Raw genomic sequence first — 26,467 nt, forward strand, 5'->3', positions numbered from 1 at the left:
TTGTAACATCGGGGCAGCAAAGACATTCCCCTGGGCATCTTTAATTGCACCAAACCCCTGAACAGGTTTTTTTTTCTTCTTTTTTGAGACAAAGTCTTGCTCTCTTGCCCAGGCTGAAGTGCAGCAGTCTGATATCACCATCTTCTGAGCTCAAGTGATCTTCCCACTTCAGCTTCCCAAGTAGCTGGGACTAAAGGCATGTGCCACCATGCCCAGCTACTTTTTAAATTTTTGTAGAGGTGGGATCTTCCTGTGTTGCCAGGCTGGTCTCAAACTCTTGGGCTGCAGAGATCCTGCTACCTCGGCTTTCCAAAGTGCTGGGATTATGGGATTACAGTCTTGAGCCACCATGTCTGGCCCTTAAACAGGTTTTTAAAAAATACTAAGGTTTCAATAGTTCTTACCATGAAGAAAGCCACTTTTCTTATGTATCTTACATTTTCAGAATACCAGAAGAGTTGAACTGTGTAACTTCAACATAGCTGACCATTAGAAACAGCTATAACTTACAATACTTATCACAGTCCTCATTAGAAATGCCTAATGAGCTGGGCACAGTGGCTCATGCCAGTAATCTCATCACTTTGGGAGGCCAGGGCGGGTGGTTCACCTGAGGTCAGGAGTTTGAGACCAGCCTGGCCAACATGGCAAAACCCCATCTGTACTAAAAATGCAAAAATTAGCTAAGGATGGTGGTGCACCTGTAGTCCCAGCTACTTGGGGACTCGTGCTAAGGCATGAGAATCGCCTAAACCTGGGAGGTGGAGGTTGCAGTGAGCTAAGATTGCGTCACTGTACTCCAGTCTGGGCAACAGAGTGAGACTATACCTCAAAAAACAAAACAAAACAAAAAACAAAAACAAACAAAAAACAACAAGCTTCCACCCTGGCCAACATGGTGAAACCCTGTCTCTGCTAAAAATACAAAAATTAGCTGGGTGTGGCAGCACGTGCCTGTAATCCCAGCTACTTGGGAGGCTGAGGCGGGAGACTCAGTTGAACCAGGGAGTCGGAGGTTGCAGTAAGACAGAGCGAGACTCCGTCTCAAAAAAAAAAAAAAAAAAAATGCTTAATGAAACAATTGAATTTTATAAGAACATGCTGTTTCCACACAGCTGAAGCTTGTCAGCACTAAGTAACCAGGCTGGTCTTGCCCAGCACCAGATGTATTTCCTTATTATCCTCACTCTTGTGGACTCAGTCTCATCTTTTGGGGATCCCAAGTCACTTGTGCAGTGTTCACGGCCTATTCCTGCCTAACACAAGAAAGGGTCAGTGGTACAACATCCACTTATTGGCATACAATATTCACTAATCCAGCTAAGGAAGGCCATTAAGGTGACAATGGTCCGAGCCTCAGTTAAGCCAAGTGACCACAAAGCCCACAGCTCTGCACCTTTATGTGGGCACTTCAAGGCTCTCATGTTGGTCCAGAGAACAAAAAATGCAACAGTTAAAGCTACCTTGAGCCAGAGAAGAAAACAGGCAGCTCTACCCTTCTAAGTCCAGTAAGACTGAAGGATCAAAGGCCTTTTACTCTCACCAACATGCTAAGTAAATTCAAACAACAGGACTGAAGAGGACCTAGAGAAAGGTCCTACCTGCTCCTCTTCACCCACAGAACACGTTTCAAACATTTCAAACCACGAGTTTTTATTTACAAAGATTTGACGTTACTATTATATGAGCTTCTGAAATTATCTGAGAGCTCTCTGTCTTTCATGTAACAGTGAGCAAACTGAAAACTAACTGATTAGGCCCTAAAGTGCAGATGTGATATTTCATCTCTACAGCTTCTTTTTTTTTTTTTTTTTTTTTTTTTGTGATGGAGTTTCGCTCTGTTGCCGAGGCTGGAGTGCAGTGGCACAATCTCGGCTCACTGCATCCTCCACCTGCCGGGTTTAAGTAATTCTCTGCCTCAGCCTCCTGAGTAGCTGGGATTACAGGCACCTACCACCATGCCCGGCTAATTTTGTTTTGTATTTTTAGTAGAGACAGGGTTTCACCATCTTGGCCAGGCTGATCTTGAACTCCTGACCTTGTGATCCACCCACCTCAGTCTCCCAAAGTGCTGGGATTACAGGCGTGAGCCACAGCACCCGGCCTACAGCATCTCTTTAATTAAGCTCATTCATATACCTTCACTGTCAGGCTAAACGCGATGGCTTATGTCTGTAATCCCAGAACTGTGGCAGGCCAAGGCGGGTGGATCATGAGGTCAGGAATTCAAGACCAGCCTGGCCAACATGGTGAAACCTTGTCTCTACTAAAAATACAAAAATTAGCCAGGCATGGTGGCGGGCACCTGTAATCCCAGCTACTTGGGAGGCTGAGGCAGGAGAATCACTTGAACCCAGGAGGTGGAGGTTGCAGTGAGCCGAAATCGTGCCATTGCACTCTAGGCTGGGTGACAGTGAGACTCTGTTTCAAAAAAAAACAAACACACACACACACACACACACACACACACACACACACACACACACACACAAATACTTCACTGTTAATACAAATAATCTAGTCAAGTAAACCATACTCCATTTTGGATAAAAACAGAGAAGAACTCCTCCATGTGGTTGTTGAAGGGTCTTTAAAGGAATCAAATATTCTCACATTTTTCTCTTTAAAAGCACTTTTAACAAATCTTCAAATCAATAAAATATACAATGGCTTAACTGGGCAAGATCTAATGCCCGAAGATCTCGTGAGGCACTCAACTAGGGCTTCCCAGACAGTGAGAAGCACAGAGCCTGGAAGGGCTCACAGGTAAGCTAAGCTACGGTTGGAAGGTGGAGGCAGGAAGTTCAGACAGCTGGCTCCACGAACCTCCACCCCATTACCTCGTGCACTGTAAACTTTTCTGCTGTTTTTTACCTGTGCCATGAGGAGAAAATAGTTCAGAAGCCCTAGATTATTCACGCTCTAAAGGAATGACTTAATTGTGGCTGCCCAACAATAGGAAATTCACATTTTTAAATAACTTAGCATTTTATTTTATTTATTTAATTGTTTTTGAGATAGAGTCTTGGCTCTGTTGCCCAGGCTGCGGGGCAGTGGCACAATCATGGCTCACTGCAGCCTCGACCTGCTGGGCTCAATCAATTTGTCTGCCTCCGAGTAGCCAGGACTACAGGCATGTACCACCATGACTGGCTAAATTTTTTTAGAGACAGGGTTTCGCCATGTTGCCCAGGCTGGTGTCAAACTTTTGGTCTCAACCAATTGGCCCACTTCAGCTTCCCAAAGTGCTGGGGTTACAAGCATTGAGCCACTGCGCCTGGCCAACTTAGCATTTTAGAAAGCAATTTGGAAAGCAGAGCAAATATACATAACATGAGTGAAAAGGCAGTATTAAAAAGAGGAAGGACCATGTAAGTTGGATAGTAAAACGTGCATTTTTTCTTGGGTATACACATACTGCAGTGTTAACAATTTCTCTCCAGATGGTGAGTATTTCACAGCAGGGGACATCAGCCCACTTGGGGCTTCCCTTTGGAATCAGATGGGAGTGGGTACAAGAAGATCACAGAGCATCTTCACTGCTGCTGCTGCTTCTCTCTCAACTTTTCCCTCCTACCTCATTTATTGGTTTCACAGTCCTGAGAAGACCCCATAGTCCTACATAAGCATAAGAAAAGCCCCATATATAAAACAAGAAAGAGAAGACTAAAGTACAAAAAAGCGCCACCTTCTGGTGGCTATAGGGGATGCTTTCCCTTTCACTCAGATGATCCCTGCAGCCAAACAGCTGCCACAGACACAAAACCACTGGGAACCTAACCCTAAAAGAGACTGGCCGGCCATGGAGCAGCTTTCCAAAATCATAAGAATGGAGACTGGTGTTGGACTGGAAACCAGGTTGAATAACAGCCCTTCACTCCTTCCATATAACATCTAGAGTCCAATTAATCTGGAAAGCAAGAGTCCTCTGGGCAAGAGGATAGCCAACTGCTTTATTAAAATGTAGCCTAAACCCAGTACTAACAAAGGCTCCTCCAACATACAACACAAAGACGTGGCTACCATTCCAAACATCTGAGAAGGGGTGGTGACAGCAGAGAGGCCAATGGAAAACCAACCAGAGTCGTGGGACATGGTTCCAGCAATTGCTAGCTGCCCTACGGTGTCCTCTCTCCTCTTCCTCCTTATAACCAAACTGAACTTTGATATTTAGAACACATGGCAACCCAAAGTAAAGATTACATTTCCCAGCCTCCTTAAGAGACAGCAGCCCCTGCAGCCCTGCATTTCTCTTCCTCCATCCTGCTGACTGGAACACGGATGTGAAGGCTAGAGCTCTCAGTCAGGAGGAAGAGAACCACACCCTAGAAATGACAAAGCAGTAAGCACAAAGGAGCAAGGTCCTCCAGCTGTCTTCCCAGGGCTCTAATTTCCAGTCCTCAACTACCTACACCTCCAGATTTCATTTACAGGAGAGAAATAACCCTCAGTCTTGTTTAAGCCATTATGTTATCTCAGGTTTTATGTCACATGCAGCTGAATCTAATCCTAAATAACAGCCATCAATGACTAAATCACAAAATAAATTCAGTGTTTCATGGAAATTTAAGCCCCCCAGAAGCAGGCCTTTTATTTACTGTGTCTCCAGCACCTAGAACCTGGTACCTGGTACAGTATAGGGCAGACACTTTCCCTATCTGGGAAAAAACAATATTGGCTCAATCTCTCTCTTTTCTGTCTTAACAGATCTCTACAAGGTTATCACTCTAAGAAAACAGCTTCAGAGAACTGAAGTCACCAGTACATTAGCCCACTCATCTGGGTACAAAGCTGTCTGTGCAGTGGATGAAAGCAGGTCTTCAGACTCAGAACTATTCAGAGAAGTTGTCCTTAAGGGCTCTATTTCAGGAAAAAAGAGGCATTATCTAGAAAGGTCAGTGGTTGAAGACACATGAGCTGAGCTGCATAACAATCACAGTAGCACACATGCGGGTGACCAGGGAAATATACACATGCACAACAAACCGAAGAATACAATGTTAAACTCATTGTTTTAGACAACGTGGGACAGAAGCAAGATGAAGTACTGGACAGAAAACACACTGCGAGAAACTTGATTTAAAAAGCGCATCAAAATTTCTGAACCATTCTGCCAGTAAGTGTGAAGATCCCGTGTGCCATGCCCGAGAAGCCCTCATTAATTCACCAGAGGGGGTGATGTCATCCTGTGAAAATACGCCAGGCTGGGTCAAGCTTGCCCCGGCCAGGACGGCTGCTGCTGCTGCCATGGCTCCAGCCCCTGCCCCTCCCATTTCCCTGGCAAGTGGACAGAAGATGATGTAACTGCACAGAAGCAAGGGAAAGGAAAAACAAGCTTCTGAACCACATTAAGGAAAAAAAAACCCAAACAAACTTCCTTTAATTTGAAAGTTCTTTGTTGTCAAAAGGGCTTGGATGTCCTTAGTCTTAAAATAACCTTTCATGTTAATTACAAAAAAAAAAAAAAAAAAAAAAAGACCCTCCTATTTCTAACTAAAATCGTATTTTGCTGGATTCCAAAATGAACTAAGGAGCTGAAAGCTTTGTCTTTCTTAGGACTTCCTCTAAGCCTGCCAACACGAGGGTCCATAGGGCCTTAATGGAATTCCAGGGCAGTAAACTCAAGCTGCAGAGACCACAGCAAACCCTCACATCCTCTGATGTTAACTCAGCAGACAGAGAGTAACAGAAAAGCACAGAGATCCACAGAACTTAACACATTTTAGGGAGTGAGGGAAGAACTCTTATTTGAAACGGAAACCAATGAAGATAATAAATATTGATTTGTTTTCTTCAACTTGTGACACTTGAGTTAAAGACTGCTTTGAATACTTTTGACTACTGAGTTTACAAGAGGAACTCTGAAATAAATGGTGCAAACAAAACAAAACCACGAAGCAAGGGAAGCCTCTAGGATTGGGAAAAGGAAAGTGATTCAAACCATCTAAAGAGACTCGTGAACTTCCCAATTAAGAAAATTATATTTTACTCACACTTCCGTTCCAGCTCCCTCATTTTTTCTGGTGGAATTTTCATTTTATCAATGTGCTCACGTAAAACACTAGCCCATTTCTGCAGAGATTCCATCACAGTCCAAGGTCTAGACATGTCTGCAACAAAAATGACGAGGGTCTCTGGCAAGGATTCAGCAGAAACTGCAAATTTCAGCAGGCCTTTGTGGTACAAGTCTCCATCCAGAATCCACACGTTGCAGCGCGTGTGATCTGAGAAAACAAGTGAATGAAGCTAGTTACCACCTGACAGTGACCATCAGCATAGCTGCAGAAACAGACACATCAGGAAGATCTTGAAGGTGACAGCTATGAATTCTAAATAGAATGCAAAATTTGGAAATCCAAACCAAAAAGTGCCCAAGTGCTCAGGAGACAGCAATCCTTGGTCCTGGTGCCTTTAAAACTACAGTAATATAGGGTCCAGGCATGGTGGCTCACACCTGTAATCTCAACACTTTGAGAGGCTGAGGCAGGTGGATCACTTGAGGTCAGGGGTTCAAGACCAGCCTGGCCAACATGGCAAAACCCCATCTCTACTAAAAGTACAAAACAAATTAGCCGGGCATCGTGACACTCGCCTGTAATCCCGGCTACTTAGGAGGCTGAGGCAGGAGAATTGCTTGAACCCAGGAAGTAGAGGTTGCGATGAGCTGAGATTGTGCCAATGCACTCCAGCCTGGGCAACAGAATGAGAGTCCATCTCAAAACAAAAACAAAAACAAAAACAAAAACAAAACAAACAAAAAAAACTACAGTAATATAGGAGGTGTTCACACCTAAAAAGGTTTCCAAAATGTCTATGAAGTAAAGATTGAGGGTATCGGACCCAGTGCGGTGGCTCACACCTATAATCCCTGCACTTTGGGAGGCTGAGGCGAACTGATCACGAGGTCGGGAGTTCAAGACCGGCCTGGCCAGCATGGTAAAACCTGTCTCTATTAAAAATACAAAATTTAGCTGGGCATGGTGGCAGGCGCCTGTAATCCCAGCTACTTGGGAGGCTGAGGTAGGAGAATCACTTGAACCCGGGAGGCAGATGTTGCAGTGAGTCGAGATCGTGCCACTGCACTCCAGCCTGGATGACAGAGTGAGACTCCATCTCAAAAAAAAAAAAAAAAAAAAAAGGGTGAGAGTCTCTTAGCTTTCAATAAAAACCAAAAGATACTAATGTTCACTGGTCAACTGTGCCACAACCTAAATAATCCATCATCCTAAGGTAACAGCAATCAGTGAAGCAGTGAGCTGTGCTGAAGAGCCTATGTTTAAACAAGCCCTTCTTGTGTTGGTCACACTAAACAATGCATTCACATACTATAAAGGATGCCAAAGAGACAGAACCTTTGTATTTAAATGTGAAGATAAAATCATCACTTACATAAACTGAGATATGAATTACCAGACGCCTAATTATATTGGGGAATTAGTAATTTTTTGTTATGATAATAATATGGTTATGTTTTTAAAAAATTCTTATCTTAGATGTCCTTATGGCAGTATACATAGATAAAATTTAATGTCTGAAATCTGCTTCAAAATCATCTAGTGGGGAGTAAACAGAGCAAAGAGTAAAAGTACAGTTGAAATAAAATTGATCAAGAACTGGTTATGTATGTTTGTATATTTATTTTTGAGACAGCGTCTGAGACACCCAGGCTGGAGTGCAGTGGCAACTGCAGTCTCGATTTCCTGGGATAGTGATCCACCCACTTCAGCCTTCCAAGTAGCTGGGACTACAGGCACAAGCCACCATGCCCAGCTAATTTTTTAGTTTTTTGTAGAGATAGGGTCTCCTGATATTGCCCAAGCTGGTCTCAAACTCCTAGGCTCAAGCAATGCTCCTGCCTCGGCCTTCTAAAGTGCTGGGATTACAGGCCTGAGCCAGTGCGCCCAGCCAGAACTGGTAATTGTTGAAGCAAGGTGACAAGTACACTGTGGTTCATGATACCACTCTCTACTTTGTATATATTTTTTGTTTTCTACTAAAATAGATTCACACAAATGTGCAAGTGCTAAGATGTAATGAAACGTGGTTCCAAATGAATACCAGGATGATCTAACTGCCGAAGACAATTCTCCAAATTTATTCATTTATTTGAGATGGAGTCTCACTCTATCACCCAGGCTGGAGTGTAGTGGCACGATATTGGCTCACTGCAACTGCCGCCGCAACCGCCGCCACCCCTCCCTGCTGCCCAGGTTCAAGCGATTTTCCTGCCTCAGCCTCCCAAGTAGCTGGGACTACAGGCACGTGCCACTACGCCTGGCTAATTTTTGTATTTTTAGTACAGATGGGGTTTCACCACGTTGGCCAGGCTGGTCTCGAACTCCTGACCTCAAGTGATCTGCCCGCCTCAGCCTCCCAAAGTGCTGGGATTATAGGCATGAATCACCATGCCCGGCCAAATTTATAATGTATTTTTAGAAATTTTCAGTTATCTTTTGAGAACTATTTTTTATTTATTTTTATTTTTTGAGATGGAGTCTCCCTCTGTCACCCAGGTTGGAATGCAGTGGTGCAAGCTCAACTCATTGCAATCTCCTACTCTAAGGCTTCGATTCTCCTGCCTCAGCTTCTGAGTAGCTGGGATTACAGGAGTGCACCACTACGCCCAGCTAATTTTTGCATTTTTAGTAGAGACCGGGTTTCACCATGTTGGCTGGGCTAGTCTCGAACTCCTGACCTGTGGTGATCTGCCCGCCTCAGCCTTGTTGGGATTACAGGCATGAGCCACCGTGCCCGGCAGAACTATGTTTTATAAAAGTACCTTGAGAACTATCATCAAAAATATTTTATTAACTATTAATACTTTTTCTTTTTGTGATGAGTTTTACTTTGTTGCCTAGACTGGAGTGTAGTGGTGTGGTGTAGGGGTGTGCCTAGACTGGCGTAGCTCACTGCAGCCCACGCCTCCCAGGTTCAGGCGATCCTCATGCCTCAGGCTCTTGAGTGGCTGGGATTACAGTTGTGTGCCACCATACTGGCTGATTTTTGTATTTTTAGTAGAAATGGGGTTTCACCACGTTGTCCAGGCTGGTCCCGAACTCCTGGGCTCAAGGGGTCCGCCCACCTCAGCCTCACAAAGTGCTGGGATTACAGGCGTGAGCCACCGCGCCCGGCCTATTAGCTTCTTTTTCAATAAATTCCAACATATACTTTAAAACCAGCAGGGCCTGGTGGCTCACGCCTGTAATCCCAGCACTTTGGGAGTCTGAGGCGGGTGGATCACTTGAGCTCAAGAGTTCAGGACCAGCCTGGACAACATGGCAAAACCCCATCTCTACAAAAGATACAAAAATTAGCCAGGCTTGGTGGCATGTACCTGTAGTCCCAGCTACTCGGGAGACTGAGGAGGGAGGACTGCTCGAGCTCGGGAGGTGGAGGTTGCAGGGAGCTGAGATAATGCCACTGCACTCCAGCCTGGATGACAGAGCCAGACCCTGTCTCAAAAAAAGAAAAAAAATAAAACAAAACAAACAAAAAAACCCAATCTTCCTCTTTTAGAAAAATATACTTAAAAAAAAACCTATCTTTTATTAACTTTTTTGTATAAGCAATTAACATGCTATAAAAAAATTTATATTCATGGCTTTGTGTCAACAGTATAAAGTATCTAAATCTAGCAATACTTTCAAATTCTATTTTAGCGGCTTTAGTTTGGGTTCTGTGAATGTCCTCAAAAATACTACTCTGTACCCAAAGTCTGTGGGTTTTAATGCCTACCCATCCACAGGCATGGTTCCTTTTTTCAGCCTCTCTCCCCACTGCCCACTACACGTAACTCACCCATGTGCTTGGAGATCACACCACGTGTAGCATTAAACAGATGCCCCCAAACCTGGAGGCAGAGGTCCTTTGACATGTCACATCCTACCACAAACTAGGTACAAGCCAGAGACTGTTTTCTCTACCTGGGTAACTGCTTGCAAAGTGTATATTTATAACTCAATCACATCACACAGTAAGAAAGACTAGGGCTGGAAAATGTACCATTAACAACAGATAAGGGCAATTCTTCCATCAAACAGGAACTTGCAAGCGGGTGGCCTAAAAAAATCCAATAAATGCAGAGACCAAGAAGTTTTTAAGGTAACTTTAAAAAAATCTGTATATAAGTTAAAATATACTTAAAGGCAAATAAATGTGGTCAACACGATGCTCTGGCATGAAATATGCTTATGGTATCTTGAAACAGAAGAGGCTATAGAGATTCACAGATTACCTACATCATGTTTTACACTTTCAAAAGAAACAAAAGGGTACTAGAGCTATCACCATGTCTCAAGCACTGTTACACCTGATACACCCTGTATCATTTTGTATAGGCACCATTACCCCATTCTACAAATGAGGAAACTCAAGTACAGAGTGGTTAAGTCAGTTACCCAAAGCCACACAACTACTGACTACAGGCATGGCATTCTGAACGAGTTCTGCCTGGCTCCAAAGCCACAGCTCTTTCCACAGTAACCACACTGTCCAAAAAAGGAAGCAAAAGACTCAATACATGTGAGATCCTCTGGCCAGGCTCAGCAGCCCTGTATGTACAGACTCCAGTGGGCCTAGATGAGTACCCAAATGCCTCTGTCCTTCTTACACAAGAGACTCTTACCCATGCCCTCAACATTTTTTTTTTTTTTTGAGACAGAGTCTCACTCTGTTGCCCAGGCTGGAGTGCAGTGGCACAATCTCGGTCACCGCAACCTCTGCCTCCCAGGTTGAAGCGATTCTCCTGCCTCAGCCTCCTGGGTAGCTGGGATTACAGGCGTGCGCCACCATGCCTGGCTAATTTTTGTATTTTTACTAGAGACAGAGTTTCACCATGTTGGCCAGGCTGGTCTCAAATGGACCTCAGGTGATCTGCCTGCCTCAGACTCCCAAAATGCTGGGATTACAGGCGTGAGCCACCGCGCCCAGCCACCCATGCCCTCTACTAAACAGCTCTTGGAGATGGTAGAATTACGGTGCTGGAAAGGACCTTGGTTCAACTTTGTCATTTTAGCAATAAGGAAATGGGGGACTAGAGGTGGTAGGATCAGCCCTCATTATATAATCGCCCATACATCGTAATCTTTACTGTTTAAATGAGTAAAGGCAAATATAAAGAAAGTAATTTTTTTTTTTTTTTTTTAAGAAGGAGTCTCGTTTTATCGCCTAGGCTGGAGTGCAGTGGTGCAATCTCGGCTCACTGCAACCTCCACCTCCTGGGTTCAAGTGATTTTCATGCCTCAGCCTCCAGAGTAGCTGGGGCTACAGGCATGCACCACCACGCCTGGCTAATGTTTTGTATTGTTAGTAGAGATGGGGTTTCACCAAGTTGACCAGGCTGGTCTTGAACTCCTGATCCCAAGTGATCCACCCGCCTCAGCCACCCAAAGTGCTAGAATTACAGACGTCAGCCACCACGCCTGCCCTAAAGAAAGTAATTTAGTGAATACACTTCATCTTTAGGTTATACAGATAACTTTTCTACCAAAAAAACCAACCAACCAACCAACCTAGGTACCAATGGTTATTTATTTTTGAATCATTGAAAAGATCTAACATAGGCTGGGTGCAGTGGTTCATGCCTGTAATCCCAGCACTTTGAGAGGCTGAGGCGAGCAGACTGCTTGAGCTCAGGAGTTCGAGACCAACCTGAGCAACATAGTGAAACCCCATCTGTACAAAAATTAGCCAGGTGTGGTGGCACACATCTATAGTCCCAGCTGCTTAGGAGGATGAGGTGGAAGGATGACCCGAGGCTGGGAGGCAGAGGTTGCAATGAGCCAAGATTGAGCCACTGCACCCCAGCCTGGGTGACAGAGTAAAACCCTGTCTCAAAAAAAAAAAAAAAAAAAAAAAAAAAACTAACATAAAACCAAAAGATTATAAAGGAGGCATTACTGAGCAGTTGTAACCCAAAACCATTACTCCAAATCACAATTACACTTGTAAGAAAACATTTTAAAATTATATGTAATCCTTATAAGAGTGTTTATCATGTGCTTTCAATCATCCTAAGCAGTAACTATTACTACTCACGTTTTAAAGATGAGGAATTAAAGAATATTACCACCTCTGAGCATCTACTCCTCTACCAGAAGAAACACAGAAAATGGGCATTTCTTTCATTCTTTCTTTTTTAAAAAACAGAGACGGTCTCGCTCTGTCACCCAGGCTTGAGTGTATAACACAGCTCACTGCAGTCCCCAACTCCTGGCCTCAAGTGATCCTCCCACCTCAGCCTCCTGAGTAGCTGCGATTATGACAGGAGTCACCAAATCCGGCAGAAACTACCATTTCTAAACTGTCACAAAGAGATTCAGGAAACTCTCCTATTAACATATGTTAAATTGTTACACTCTAAACCACACCAACTTCGGATTCTCTACTAGAACCAGGCAGAGTAACAATGGTCCCCAGGACAGCCAAGCATTTCTCTCATATAAAACTCCAAAGCTTTAAAAAATCTTTCTTACCACCTTTATGGGTTAAGTAAAAATTTATCTTCAGTATCTCTTTTTAAAGGCAGGCTAGCCAGAGCAACAGCTAAGTGTCCCATTCCCCAATTTTGCTAACATACTCTATAAAGGGGGTTAAGTCCTGCAAAAGATACGTACTTCATCTATTCTGTGATTAACTCTCTGAGAACCAAACAGAAAACTGAGAATGCCTGGCCATGCTGCAGGAACTGCACCCAAGGAAGCAGTCAGAGTCCTGCATACACCCCCTTACCATGGGACCAATGCTTCACTCACCATCTCGGTCCTCATCATGGACACTGAGGTAGAGATATTCTAGGCCTCTTCCTTTTTTGCCATGCTCAGCTCCTTGTAGTTTAGTCATGAGGGTTGTTTTACCAGAACCATCTTCACCTACAAAGGATGTTTGCAAGACAAAGGTGTACTGTTTATTCCGGGCAAGGATGGGGAGGCATGACACTCACATGACACGGAGAAACTAAGAATTTCATGCAAAGTCTGCTGTTGAAGTCTCACCTGCTTTCATAAACAAAGGACTTTGCTGGAAGAGTGGTTGGGAGGGTGGGGAGGAGAGGGTGGTAAAGGCAGCAAATTCCAAGATCTAAAATGACATTCTACTGCAGTTATCCTTACTTCAAAAGGGAAATAATGAGGCAGGTCCACAGGCCCTATCTATAATTTATAAGACATGCATTCGGAGAAGTGAAAGTAAAAGGTAGGGTTAGTTTCTCACAAGAAAAAGTTTCACCACAAGAAAAACAAGAAATCTTCAAAATATGATACAATTAACCTAAAAGTCCAGGTACTGTGAACTAAAAAAAGTCTGATCCTGCTTCACAATGGTGAAGAATGGAAGTTATTCACTTTTGATTTTAGTACATCTCCTTCACAAACATTCTGAAGGCTAAGAAACTGACGAAAATAATTATAGACCTAGCAAAACTCTTCAGTACAATCTCAGTTAATTATTAAGCACTTCTTCATCTCCCTCCACCCAAACAACACCCCCCTTCCCCGGATCCTTAAACATCAAGGAGAACCATCGCCAAACATTACTAGGCACTTCTGCCATTTAATAATATGGAATTACAGAACATGAGAATTGAAAGGCAGTCAGTCCACAGATCAAAGACCTCCTCTCCATCTCCAATGCCTCTACCTTATTCAGGCCCTCTGCATCCAGACCAAGGTGAGGACCTGTCAGCCTGACTTCAGTACCTGCTCATTTTGAGCTACTGTCCCTCTGCAGGCAGCGTTCTTTCTAAAACTCAGATCTGGTGATCTTGATCCCCCACTTCTTGAAGATCTCTAAGGGTCCGGTATTACCTACCACAGTCAATTCCTGAGAAAGGTCACACATTCTAACAGTAGGAAAACTACCAAGGCAGTGATTCCCATGGGAATTGGGGGATGGAGGTGAGATAAAAGCCATTTGAAAAATCAGAGAACTTCAGGAAACAGCACTAACTCTTCAGCCTTCCCACAATCTGCCCCCAACTTACCTTAGCAGCCACCAACCACAAGGCGCTTCTAGCAGTTTCCAAACCCCACACCCTCTTGTCATCTGTGTCCCTGCATACTGACACTTTTCTGCAAAATACTCAACCCCCGAATCATCCTCCTTCACCAGCTCTAAGCAGTGTAATGCTTCCACAATAATCGGCATGGTGCAATGCAATCACCAATACATCTGTCTTCCACCAGACTGAGATTCTTCTATAGTGTTTAAGAGTCGCCTATGCTGAGCCTGTGCCCAGCCCACAGGTCCCAAGCAACAAATGGACTTGCTGTGTGAATGTACCCAAACTCCCTCACTTGAGGAGAGTGAGGCCAGAGGGAGTAAGGGACCTGACTCAGGTAACCTAGCAGTGAGGGCTAGCATAATGGAGGAAACGTCCCCAGTGCTGACTCTCTGTCCTCTGCAAAGTCCCTAAAACCTCGGACTATGCACTACTGATGAGGCTCAAAGAAGGCTCCCGTGGTCATTTCCCCACAGCTCCGAGCCCAGGTCACCTCGTTCTCCCACCTTCTCCACCTAATCTCATCTACTAGCTTCCCCTCTCCACGACCTCAATTTGGTAACCGTCGAGGCAATGAAGGCATAGAGGGCCAAGTGACTGAAACAATATGCCGACAACCCCAAAGCACCACTACGCTCTCCAAAGAGGGCAGCATCCCACCCTCAGGCGCTGGAGGCTTGACCACTCTCCAGCTGACCGGCCAGGGCCGACGGTCCCTTTCCCGCCAGGCTGCGGGCAGGCGGCTGGAACGGGGAAGGCGGGGACCTGAGGGAGGGGCGCCCGCCTCGCCCACCCCAGCGACCTGGGGCAACGCCCCGCCGCCGGCGCTCACCGAAGACCAGGATGTTCTTGCCGGACGGCAGCTTGGACCTGGCGCGGGTGGACACTTCGCTCAGAATGGAGGACCTGTGGCGACAATGGCAAGAGTGGTCAGCCCCGGGCCGGGCTGGGATGGCCCGGCTCGCGTCGGCCCCTCAGTGTGTCCGACGGTCCGGCCCAGAGGCCGCGCCCCCCACGGCCCGGCCCGACCGCCCGCGGCCTCACCATAGGCTCTGGCCTTCCTCCTCCTCACTGGTCAGGTCGCCGGCGGCCGCCACCGCGGGCCCGTTGGGACCTAGCAGCAGCTTCTTCTCCACCCCCACCGGCGCCATCTTGCCAACTGCAGCCACAAAGAGGGCCCTCCCCCGGGCCCGCCGAGGACCCGCGAGGACCCGGGCCGGGCCGCCCCCCGCTCGCCGTCCCTCGCGCCGCGCCGCCCGCCGACCTTGCCGCGGCGACTGCGCCGCCCAACGTGTCCTCTAGGTCTGCGATGGCCACGGGCTCCCACGGGTTGCGAGGCCGCCGAGGTGGCGGGCGGCGGTCAGGCAGCCGCCGGGGCAGCCATGCGCGGGGAGGCGGTGGCAGGGGCGGGCACCGTCCGGACCGAGGGCGCGCTGGCGGCCTCTGCCGGCTGAGGGGCGCAGCGCAGCACCCCGCCACGCTCGCCGATTCCCCTGCGCCGTCGCGGGTCGGGCAGCCGGATGACCGACCCGAAAGCCTAGGCTTTGGGAATGAGACTGATGGACACAAAAGCGCCATTTATCTAGAGCTCACCATGTGCCAGAGTCACACATTATCTCACTGAATCTTATCTAACCCTTTCACAGATGAGGAACCTGAAGCTCAAAAAATTTAAGAAACCCACCCAAGGACCCAAGGCTAGAAGATAACATTCGGTACTTCTAATTTATTCCCCAACCTTGGACCATTATATCATGAACTTGGCCTAACCCTACTCAAGCCCTGCATTGAAAGACTAGCCTTAAGGAAGACCCCAGAATCCTCATAAATATCCTGCATTTCCCCCTCCTCCTCCGAAGACTAAAGACTGTGAAGTAGTGCTCTTGACCGCAGTGCATAATACACTTGGCTTTGCTTTATTAACATGCTTTTTAAAATGATGTTTTCAGGGAGCCAGCATTTCACACCAGAAGAGGAGCCCTTAATTTCCTTGGGGGCCAGCTGGCAGGTGCAGAGCGGGGAGAAAAATAAAAGGAAAGGGGATGGAAAAGGGAAAGAGCGGAGAGTAACCGAAGGAAAAACATACATTCCATTATCAAGCTTAATTTTAGGTGTGGCCTCTACTTGAGGGCTCTTGCCATTCTCTATGGAAACAGGCTAACAAGACATTTCTAAATATCACAAGGAAGTGGAATGTGGCAGAAAAGCACCACCTAAGTAGGTTTCAGATGAGTAGGATTGTGATCCTGATGCCAAAAAATCTGGCGGCATGAATTACGGGATAAAACAAATGGGCATATCATCTGCCAAACTGGATGTAAGGTTTAAACAAGACGAGAGTGAAAACCCACTGAGTTCCTCCCTTGGAAATCTGGGAAAATCAGGCAAAGTGCCAGAAGTCCTAAAAGGGCAAGCAGTGCTGAATTTTCACAGGACAGAAGATGGAGATGAAAATTACAGGCCAGTGAGCTTAATCAGCACTAAGTGAAATTTTGTGATTAAACACTAAAGGAAAAGAGAATACCAGATTTACACAGTATCTTTCTTTTTTGCAGGAGTACCAGGTAGGCGGATGCTGCAGATACAGCAAATGCAGATTTCAACAGGGCATTTGACAATTCACATCTTAGATGCGAAAGTGAAATCAATGCTGGATGATAGCACTGAGGCTTATTAAAGACTAGCCCAGAGGTGGCTGATGAAGAGGAGGGACCAGCAGATGAGGCTGCTAGGGGCCTGCCCAAACCTCCTGCCCTGGCCAGCCAATTCAGGGTGCCATCAGTGACTTGGATAAGAATACAGCAGCAGTCATGGAAGTTGTGGATGACCTGAAGCAGGAAGGGTTGCCTTATCTACTGCATGACAAACTGAGCAGAGACTAAATCTAACAAGTTGAAATTTAGCAGGAACTATTAAAGTCCTGTGGAAGAGTTTAACAAAAAAGCATAGGAAGGCCAGGTACGGTGGCTCACACCTGTAATCCCGGCACTTTGGGAGGCCGAGGCTGGCGGATCACTTGAGGTCAGGAGTTCCAGACCAGCCTGTCCAACATGGCCAAACCCCGTCTCTACTAAAAATACAAAAAAAAAAAAAAAAAATTAGCCAGGAATGGTGGCATCCGCCTGTAATCCCAGCTGCCTGGGAGGCTGAAGCACGATAATTGCTTGAACCCAGGAGACAGAGGCTGCAGGGAGTTGAGATCACACCACTGCACTCTAGCCTGGGCGACAGAGTAAGACTGTCAAATAAAGTAAAATTTAATTTAAAAATGCATAGGAATAGGATAGGAAATTATTTGAAATAAAAATGATAATCTAAACGTCATTACTGTATTAACTATAATCTAAGAGTTGGTCATGTAGAATGCCAAGAAACATCTTAGGGTAGAACCCATAAAACCTCACTGATGCTAACAAAGAAGCTAGCCCCCCATGCCAGTCAGGCTGGATTTCTTAGGGTGACATTTCTGGACACATTTTGCAAAGACAGAGGTATCCAGTGGTCAGTGACTAAACTCATAAGGGGACAAGACATCGTTCTGCTGCAACATGAAGTAACTAGGGCTCATCAGTATGAAGGATAAAGATACAGAGGGAGAAGAAGGGAAAGTGTAGACATTTCTGAAAAGCTAAAGCAAATAAACATACACCAAAAAGAAGTGAACCTGACTATATGATGTGGGAGTATTCAAAGCAACTGCATAATTAGTCTTTAGAAGAAGAAACTTTTTTTTTTTCCTCTAGGATACTACAATAAACAATAGAAGAGGAAACTTTTTTAAGAGATAGGGTCTTGCTCTTGTCCAGGCCAGAGTACAGTGAAACACTCATAACTAACTACAACCTCGAACTCCTGGGCTCAAGCGATCCTCCCACTTCAGCCTCTCAAGTAGTTAGGACCACAGGGGCATGCCACCACATCCAGCTAATTTTTAAATTTTTTTGTAAAGATAGGGGTCTCACTATGTTGCCCAGGCTGGTCTCAAACTCCTTGCCTCAAGTGATCCTCCCACATTGGCCTCCCAAAGTGCTAGGATTACAAATATGGGCCACCACCACAGCCAAGGAAACATTTTAATTAACAAAATGTCAAATATTGATTTAGTGTATGGGAACCTTAGTTAAATAGCTTGGGGAACTATTCTTTCTGAATTCTGGGGAGGGACTTTTGTACCATATAAAAATACTAAAATCCAAATGTCCCACATAGTATTTATTGCAATATAATGTCAAATAACATTTAAAGGCTAATTCTTTTCTCTGTGTCCTTTAAGCTTAAGGAAAAATAAAAGCATATTCCTAAACAAATGTTTGATCTTATGAAGGAATTTTCTTACTAATCTGTACACTGATGATATATTTGCTTTATAAATCATTGTAATTTGATGAGTTTCAGCATCACAAAAACTGTTTAATGAAAACTGTATCCTCATTTCCACATTCCTTCTCATGAGAGTTTAGAAAAATACTTTAAATGTATCTTTCAAGGCACTGTATTTTAAGAATCCAAACTAAAAACTGACAGTCTTCTTTCAATCAAGAAGCTGCACACGTGGGGTGTTTGGTCAGCTTGTGGTATTTGTGAGCAAGGTCCACAGCCTTCCGTCCTTGCTGAAAGGGGAAAGACCACAAAATTGAATTCCAGTGATTTCCCATTTTCTTAACTCCATTGAAAAGGTAATTTACTTCTTCTTCAGTAAAGTTTTTGCGAATTCTTCTTTTTTCTATAATTAGAATTGTAGAATATATTAGTATTTGCTGAACAAAGGTCCTGAGATGCAAATAAGTGCTTATTTGGATATGCTTAACTTATACCTAAGGATATAAACTACAGAGTGAGAAATGCCAGGGCTTCTCATCATGTGGAAACCCACTTCAATTTTAAAAACCTGAGTGCCTAATATTAAGCTAGTTGCTATCACTGTGACTTCTTCAGTAATTATAACTTAATTGACAGTAGTAATACAACATCTTTCAGTCAAGAAACAAAAGTTTATAAACATTTGATTGTTAATTCAACATTCCTGTGAGGACAGTTAACAAACATCTTACCGGCCAGGCACGGTGACTTATGCCTATAATCCCAGCACTTTGGGAGGCTGAGGAAGGTGGATTACTTGAGGTCAGAAGTTCGAGACCAGCCTGGTCAACGTGGCAATAATCTCTCTCCACCAAAAATACAAAAAGTAGCCAGGCATGGTGGCACGTGACTGTAGTCCCAGCTTCTCGGGAGGCTGAGGCACAAGAATTGCTTAAACTCGGGAGGCAGAGGTTGCAGTGAGCTGACAGCACACCACTGCACTCCAGCCTGGGCGACAGAGCAAGACTCTGTCTCAAAATATATAAATAAATAAAAATAAAAAACAGCTTACGTATCTTAGAGATACAGTCTTCCCAAAGGGCTCCATAACTTGATAGAATAGAAAAGAATATCAACACTTGTTAAATATTAGGTTTGATAATATTTTTAAGAATAAGGGTCTTTTGAAATTTGCTTTTAAAAACACATGGTCAGCTAGATCAAAACTCAAAATATAGGCTGCACAATGAGGAAGGAAGTTTTTAACTATTTGGTTTTTAAGGGATACTTTCTATAAAGAAAGAATATACAGCTGGTATCTGTAAACAAATATTTTCTGGTGATGATTACTAGGAAATAGTTTTCTTTAAGCTTTTTCATTCATTATTATCTCATCTTATCAATGTGGGTAGATGCTGGTGAGGAGAAGTTTTCTGTATTTCCAGTTGAGGCTGTTATTTACTTTCGTAGTACTGGGTGCAGTTGTCCTGGGTCACCCTTAGAAAACCTTGCCCTTGCAGGCCAAGACAGCCATTTGTTTACCTTTTCTAAGAGCCACAGTTCAGACCTTTTAAAACAGATGAAAAAATCTTCCCAGCAGAAGGTTATCAGTGTAAATGTCTGATTATTACTTAATAGTATTATTTAGAATGTAAGCTCCATGAGGGCAGCAATTTTGATCTATTTTATTCACCATTGTATCCCCAGTGCTTAGAATAGTATCTGACACACAGTAGGTAGTCAATAAATACTTGTTGAGAGAAAAAATTTATTGGTAAAACTATCTCAAAGCTTATCAATGAAATTATTCTTTCATTTTGGGTGTACTGGAAAACTGTGGCTATCCAAGAAATAGGTTTCAACTTCCCTTGCTAAATGATTTGAACCCATAATAATCAGGACTAGATTGGTTACTATAACTTTCAGGATATTGAGCCCTGGAGTTGATCATGTAAAGCCCCACTTTTCCATTGTGGCTGCCATCTCCCTGACTTTTATACTTAATATCTGTGCCCAAATCTTCAAAGATTCCTACAGCAGAGTACTGAGCAGCCTGGAAGAAGGAAGCAGCTCTCTACACCCCAAGCTCCCCGCTCTGTGACTTCTTTAGTGCTCCTTGTAATATTAGGTATTAGGGAAGAGCAAGGGAAAATGGGCAAGAGGGCTTAATTCTAAGGACTCTTTTATTTTTCAAGCCCTCTCAAAACACCAATCCATCCTGAAATAGAGACTTGGGGAAATCTGTAAATGCTTAGGACAGTGGTTCCTTCTCAGAAGAATGGGCTCACATTTGAGTATAAAGTATAATTAAATGAACGGTGGTGAGTATCCTAAAAAAAGGTTAAGTTTATCAAGGGGGAAAAAATGGCAACATACCAAATATTCCTGGCCGGCTTGTGAAAGAGATGTAAGAATCACTACTTTCTCAAGGTTCCTTTCTAAATTCTAAAAAGTAGGCCAGATTATTTGGTTTTAGCTAAAGCAAGTCTTACCTACAAAAAAAAGGCATGTTTTTCTGAGCTCAATGTCACTTAACAGTATATAGGACTGCTGTATATAATCATTGTATAACCATTATTATGCACATTTCATGAAGTTCTGCAAATTATTTTAATATGCAAATAGATTACAGCATATTTTTCATTGTTACGTACTTGCTTTGAAGACATGTTGCTGAAAAACACCTATTATTAATTTGATGCCAAGCCCTTGTCAAGAACAAGATCTCCAAGTGCATGATGTTTCTATGAAAAAACACCCATTTTCTAACAATTACTATAGAAAACATTACTTCAGAAAGTGGGCTCATCTGTAGTGGTACTATACTTAATTATAATTTGCATGCAGAACTTTTAATCTAGAAAAAGACTCAGATATAAAAATCAAATTTGAAATTTCCTTGAAAGTTTTGGCAGTGAAAATAGCCAAATAAATATATGTGGCAAAATGCTTCCTGAATGTATCACGTCCAAATGTCTAAATAACAGAGTGGCTCTATAGGTGTTACTAATTAATATATCCAACCTATTTTAGTCTGCAGGTATTAACTCCGTACGAATAAAAGAAAATGATGATGTTATTTAAGTTTCTGATACATCGGAAATGGTGATCAATGTGAAATGTTAACCCTATAGTTAAATAAAAATTCCCATAAATTAACTAATTGTTTAAGAGGCATTTTTATTTCTTAAGCAGAGTTTTAAAGTTTATACTATTTGTCTCTTCAATTTTTATTGTTTCAAGCACTATAGTTATGAACAAAAACCTGCAAAGTCTCTCTGAAGCACTTGTGCATAATAATTTTGTTCTTAAAATAGAAATGTGAGGATAGAACAAGGGCTTCTGGAGAATGGCTTTTTGAATCTAAGTTCTGCCACTTACCAAGTATTAATAATTATGCCTTACAATAGGAGCAAATTAATATCTAACTTACAATATTGCTATAGGAATTAAAGGAAATAATATCTATACAACACCTAACACCTAGCAGGTGCTTAATAAATGTTAGTTTCCTCCTGCTCCTTCCCCTGCTGGCAGGCAGTGAGTGAGCAAGCAACATGAAGGGAAGAGGAAAGTCTCTTTTATTAGAAGGTCTGACCCTCATCAGAGGCAAGGTTTATCATTTAAGATCCATTAATAATAAGACTGAGAACAACCACTCAGCTGTTCTTTCTCAGAAATATATGAAATTTAAGTTCATTTAAAAATTAAATATATTCAGCCAGGTGCAATGGCTCATGCCTGAAATCCCAGCACTTTGGGAGGCCAAGGTGGGTGGATCACTTGAGGTCAGGAGTTTGAGACCAGCCTGGCCAACATGGTGAAACCCCATCTCTACTAAAAATACAAAAACCAGCAGGGTGTGGTGGCACATGTCTGTAATCCCAGCTACTTAGGAGGCTGAGGCAGGAGAATCACTTGAACCTGGGAGGCGGAGGCTGCAGTGAGCCGAGATTGCTCCACTGCACTCCATCCTGGGTAACAGAGCCAGACCCTGTCTCAAGAAAAAAAAAATTAAATTAAATATATTCACTTATTCCTCCAGGGGTAGTAGATTCATTACTGAGTCGTTGTCTTCTACGTGGGGTCAGCAGAATTTCTGAAAAATATGGAAAACATTTAGCACATTTAGCGTATCAATCTGAGTAATAGCATATCAATTCCATTAGTATATTTCCTTTATTCCCCCGTCTAGTGGGAATACTTAGATAGATTAGGAAGAATTTTTAAACCAACAGTCTAAGACTACTCCCTGGGTACATCTTCAATTACTTGTTGCTTAGAGACAGATTTTCTTTTTAAGATTATTTTATCCTCTAGTTTTTAATATATTTAATGCTTTAGATAATAGTTCAGAAGGTATAGCCATAATTACAATTTTAAAGCTGCTGAATTAATTACTTTTGTTACAGATAAGTGATTTCCTTAGTTCACTTTTATATCTGTCTTCAGCTTCCACAATGACTTTGTGACGATCACATTGGTATGGGCAAGAGTGCAAGAGCTTGCTAAAGTTTCGGCTATTCAGGGATTTTTCTACTGCTATGCAACCTAAAAGAAAACAAATTAAAGTTATGTGTAGATGTCACAAAATATCTAGTAACAAATCTATGATAGCAAATATCTATATGATGGTAACTGAAGTAAAATCAGGAACTATAAACACCTCAAGAAGCTCAAAATCATATGAGGGAGTAAAGACAACAAATACAACAGAGTGAAATAAGTGCTGGGAGGGAGGTATGAACAGTTACGGTGCTTTAGAAAAAGAGCATCTAGGCCGGCCACGGTGGCTCATGCCTGTAATCCCAGCACTTTGGGAGGCCAAGGTGGGTGGATCATGAGGTCAGGAGTTCGAGACCAGCCTGGCCAATATGGTGAAACCTCGTCTCTACTAAAAATACAAAAATTAGCAGGGTGTGGTGGCATGCACCTGTAGTCCCAACTGCTTGGGAGGCTGGGGCAGAAGAATCACTTGAATCCAGGAGGTGGAGGTTTCAGTGAGCTGAGATTGTGCCACTGTACTCCAGCCTGGGCGACAGAGCAAGACTCTGTCTCAAAAAAAAAAAAAAAAAAAAAAGGAAAGAAAGAAAAGAAAAGAAAAAGAGCATCTAGAGCGGGCGCAGTGGCTCACGCTGTAATTCCAGCACTTTGGGAGGCTGAGGTGGGCTGATCACAAGGTCAGGAGTTTGAGACCAGCCTGGCCAATATGGTGAAACCCCATCTCTACTAAAAATACAAAAATTAGCCAGGCATGGTGGTGGGTGCCTGTAGTCCCAGCTACTTGGGAGGCTGAGGCAGGAGAATCGCTTGAACCCGCCAGGCGGAGGTTGCAGTGAGCTGAGATCACGACTGCACTCCAACCTGGGTGACAGAGCGAGACTCCATCTCAAAAAAAAAAAAAAAAAAGAAAAGAAAAGAAAAGAAAAAGAGCATCTAGGTTGGGTGCAATGGCTCATGCCTGTAACCCCAGCACTTTGGGAGGCTGAGGCGGGCTGATCACAAGGTCAGGAGTTCGAGACCAGCCTGGCCAATATGGCGAAACCCCATCTCTACTAAAAATACAAAAATTAGCCAGGCATGGTGGCGGGTGCCTGTAGTCCCAGCTACTTGGGAGGCTGAGGCAGGAGAATCACTTGAACCCGCCAGGCGGAGGCTGCAGTGAGCTGAGATCACGACTGCACTCCAACCTGGGTGACAGAGCGAGACTCCATCTCAAAAAAAAAAAAAAGAAAAGAAAAGAAAAGAAAAGAAAAAGAGCATCTAGGTTGGGTGCAATGGCTCATGCCTGTAACCCCAGCACTTTGGGAGGCTGAGGCGGGCTGATCACAAGGTCAGGAGTTCGAGACCAGCCTGGCCAATATGGTGAAACCCCATCTCTACTAAAAATACAAAAATTAGCCAGGCATGGTGGTGGGTGCCTGTAGTCCCAGCTACTTGGGAGGCTGAGGCAGGAGAATCGCTTGAACCCGCCAGGCGGAGGTTGCAGTGAGCTGAGATCACGACTGCACTCCAACCTGGGTGACAGAGCGAGACTCCATCTCAAAAAAAAAAAAAAAAAAGAAAAGAAAAGAAAAGAAAAAGAGCATCTAGGTTGGGTGCAATGGCTCATGCCTGTAACCCCAGCACTTTGGGAGGCTGAGGCGGGCTGATCACAAGGTCAGGAGTTCGAGACCAGCCTGGCCAATATGGCGAAACCCCGTCTCTACTAAAAATACAAAAATTAGCCAGGCATGGTGGTGGGTGCCTGTAGTCCCAGCTACTTGGGAGGCTGAGGCAGGAGAATCGCTTGAACCCGCCAGGTGGAGGTTGCAGTGAGCTGAGATCGCGACTGCACTCCAACCTGGGCGACAGAGCGAGACTCCACCTCAAAAAAAAAAAAAAAAAGAAAAGAAAAGAAAAAGAAAAAAGAAAATAAAAAGAGCATCTAGGCTGGGTGCAGTGGCTCATGCCTGTAACCGCAGCACTTTGGGAGGCCAAGGTGGGCAGATCACTTGAGGTCAGGAGTTCAAGACCAGCCTGGCCAACATGACAAAACCCCGTCTCTACTCAAAATACAAAAAGTAGCCGTGCATGACGGCAGGTGCCTGTAATCCCAGCTACTTGGGAGGCTGAGGTGGAAGAATTGCTTGAACCTGGAAGGCAGAGGTTGCAGTGAGCTGAGACTGTACCATTGCACTCAAGCCTGGGTGACAGAACAAGACTCTGTCTCAAAAAAAAAAAAAAAAAGAAAGAAAGAAAGAAAAGAAAAGAGCATCTAGGGTTGAAGGGTTGAGAGTGGTGGCTCATGCCTGTAATCCCAGCACTTTGGGAGGCCAAGGTGGGAGGATCACTTGGGCTCAAGAATTCAAGACCATCCTGGGCAACATAGTGAGACCCTGTCCCTACCAAAAAAAATATTAGCCGGGTGTGGTGGCACACATCTGTAGTCCTAGTTACTTAAGAGGCTGAGGCAGGAGAATCCCTTGAGACCAGGAGTTCAAGGCTGCAGTGAGCCATGATCACACCATTACACAGAATAAGACCCTGTCTCAAAAAGAAAAGACAGCTCACGCCTGTAATCCCAGCACTTTGGGAGGCCTAGGCGGGCAGATCACAAGGTCAGGAGATGGAGACCACCCTGGCCAACATGGTGAAACCCCGTCTCTACTAAAAACACAAAAATTAGCTAAGTGTATTGGCGCGCCCCTGTAATCCCAGCTACTCGGGAGGCTGCGGCAGGAGAATCGCTTGAACCCGGGAGGCAGAGACTGCAGTGAGCCGAGATCACACCGCTGCACGCCAGCCTGGCGACAGAGTGAGACTCTATCTCAAAAAAAAGAAAAAGGAATATCTAGTTTGTCTGGTTTTGAGCAAGAGTCCCTGTTAAGGGAAGATATCCAAAAGAAGTGATCCTTAAGCTCAGTCATCTTTTTTGTTTTTAACATTTTATTATGTAAAATTTCAAACACTGAACTCCCATATATCTATCACCCAGCTTCAATAATTATTAACTCATGGCTAATCATGTTTTATTTATACCTCTACCTACTCAGCTCTGTCCCCACGTATGCACTGGATTATGACACCTGGAATTTACATTAAAGTATCATTTCATCTGTAAATACTTCACATGCATCCTTAACAGATAAGGAATTGTTTTTTGTTTGTTTGTTTTTTTTCCTGTGACAGGGTCTCCCTGTCACCCAGACTGGAGTGCAGTGGTATGATCACAGCTCACTTTTAGCCCTGACCTCCTGGGCTCAAGTGATCCTCCAGCCTCAGTCTCCTAAGTAGCTACAACTACAGGCATGCTCCACCACACCTGGCTAATTTTTTATTTTTTGTAGACACAGGGTCTCCTTACATTCCCAGGGCTGGTCTCAAACTCCTGGGCTTAAGTAATCCTCTCCCCTCAGCCTCCCAAAGTGCTGGGATTACAGGTGTGAACCACTGCACCCAGCCGGGACTTTTTTTTTTTCTGAGATAGTGTCTCACTCTGTCACCCAGACTGGAGTGCAGTGGCATGATCTCAGCTCACTACAACCTTAACCTCCTGGGCTTAAGCAATCCTCCCACCTCAGCCTCCCAAGTAGCTGGGACTATAGGCATGCAACACCACACTCAGCTAATTTTTGTATTTTTTTTAGAGACAGGTTTCACTATGTAGCCCAAGCTGTTCTCGAATTCCTG

General features: G+C 44.1%; 2 protein-coding genes and 1 long non-coding RNA gene across 23 annotated transcripts in view, besides 3 other annotated features; 1 reads left to right on the top strand and 2 right to left on the bottom strand.

Moving 5' to 3' along the window:
- DYNC1LI2 (dynein cytoplasmic 1 light intermediate chain 2) overlaps positions 1-15,165 on the bottom strand; it is a 30,717-nt gene extending 15,552 nt beyond the window's left edge. For 3 of the 5 annotated variants that reach the window (NR_136658.2, NM_006141.3, XM_017023008.2), the window contains exons 1-4: positions 15,041-15,165; positions 14,829-14,902; positions 12,753-12,869; positions 5,994-6,224 (exon numbers count right to left, since the gene is read on the bottom strand). Coding sequence is in view for 4 of the 5 variants with exons in the window: in NM_006141.3 (NP_006132.1) it covers positions 5,994-6,224; positions 12,753-12,869; positions 14,829-14,902; positions 15,041-15,147 (529 nt within the window). In the remaining variant the exon portion in view is untranslated. The remainder of the gene's footprint in view (positions 1-5,993; positions 6,225-12,752; positions 12,870-14,828; positions 14,903-15,040) is intronic. The other 2 variants (NM_001323955.2, NM_001286157.2) reach the window with 2 other exon arrangements.
- Positions 10,168-10,368: a silencer, noted in NCBI's record as "peak2616 fragment used in MPRA reporter construct". NCBI's record gives its function as "represses an SCP1 promoter by STARR-seq MPRAs in K562 erythroleukemia cells {active_cell/tissue: K562}" and the evidence as "EXISTENCE:reporter gene assay evidence [ECO:0000049][PMID:32103011]".
- Positions 14,793-15,592: a silencer, noted in NCBI's record as "silent region_7567". NCBI's record gives its function as "represses an Ori minimal core promoter by ATAC-STARR-seq in GM12878 lymphoblastoid cells {active_cell/tissue: GM12878}" and the evidence as "EXISTENCE:reporter gene assay evidence [ECO:0000049][PMID:35858748]".
- Positions 14,806-15,521: an enhancer, noted in NCBI's record as "H3K27ac hESC enhancer chr16:66785153-66785868 (GRCh37/hg19 assembly coordinates)". NCBI's record gives its function as "activates a minimal SCP1, AML or CMV promoter by ChIP-STARR-seq in naive H9 embryonic stem cells {active_cell/tissue: H9 hESC(naive)}" and the evidence as "EXISTENCE:reporter gene assay evidence [ECO:0000049][PMID:30033119]".
- Positions 15,308-18,299, top strand: DYNC1LI2-DT (DYNC1LI2 divergent transcript). The gene is made up of 2 exons (NR_133569.1): positions 15,308-16,456; positions 16,552-18,299. It is a non-coding gene; the product is annotated as a DYNC1LI2 divergent transcript (long non-coding RNA).
- The window catches only part of TERB1 (telomere repeat binding bouquet formation protein 1), a 47,386-nt gene continuing 39,114 nt past the window's right edge, over positions 18,196-26,467 (bottom strand). For 10 of the 17 annotated variants that reach the window (XM_047433947.1, XM_011523009.3, XM_047433950.1 and 7 more), the window contains 3 exons: positions 22,697-22,846; positions 22,329-22,394; positions 18,196-18,719 (listed from right to left, as the gene is read on the bottom strand). In XM_047433947.1, the coding sequence (XP_047289903.1) occupies positions 18,532-18,719; positions 22,329-22,394; positions 22,697-22,846 (404 nt within the window). In that variant the 3' untranslated portion in view covers positions 18,196-18,531. Of the gene's footprint in view, positions 18,720-19,304; positions 20,788-20,841; positions 21,040-22,253; positions 22,395-22,670; positions 22,847-26,467 lie in introns of those variants that run through there. The other 7 variants (XM_047433956.1, XM_047433951.1, XR_007064867.1 and 4 more) reach the window with 6 other exon arrangements.

Source organism: Homo sapiens, chromosome 16 (assembly GCF_000001405.40).
Source record: "Homo sapiens chromosome 16, GRCh38.p14 Primary Assembly".
Taxonomy (NCBI): Eukaryota; Metazoa; Chordata; class Mammalia; order Primates; family Hominidae; genus Homo; species Homo sapiens.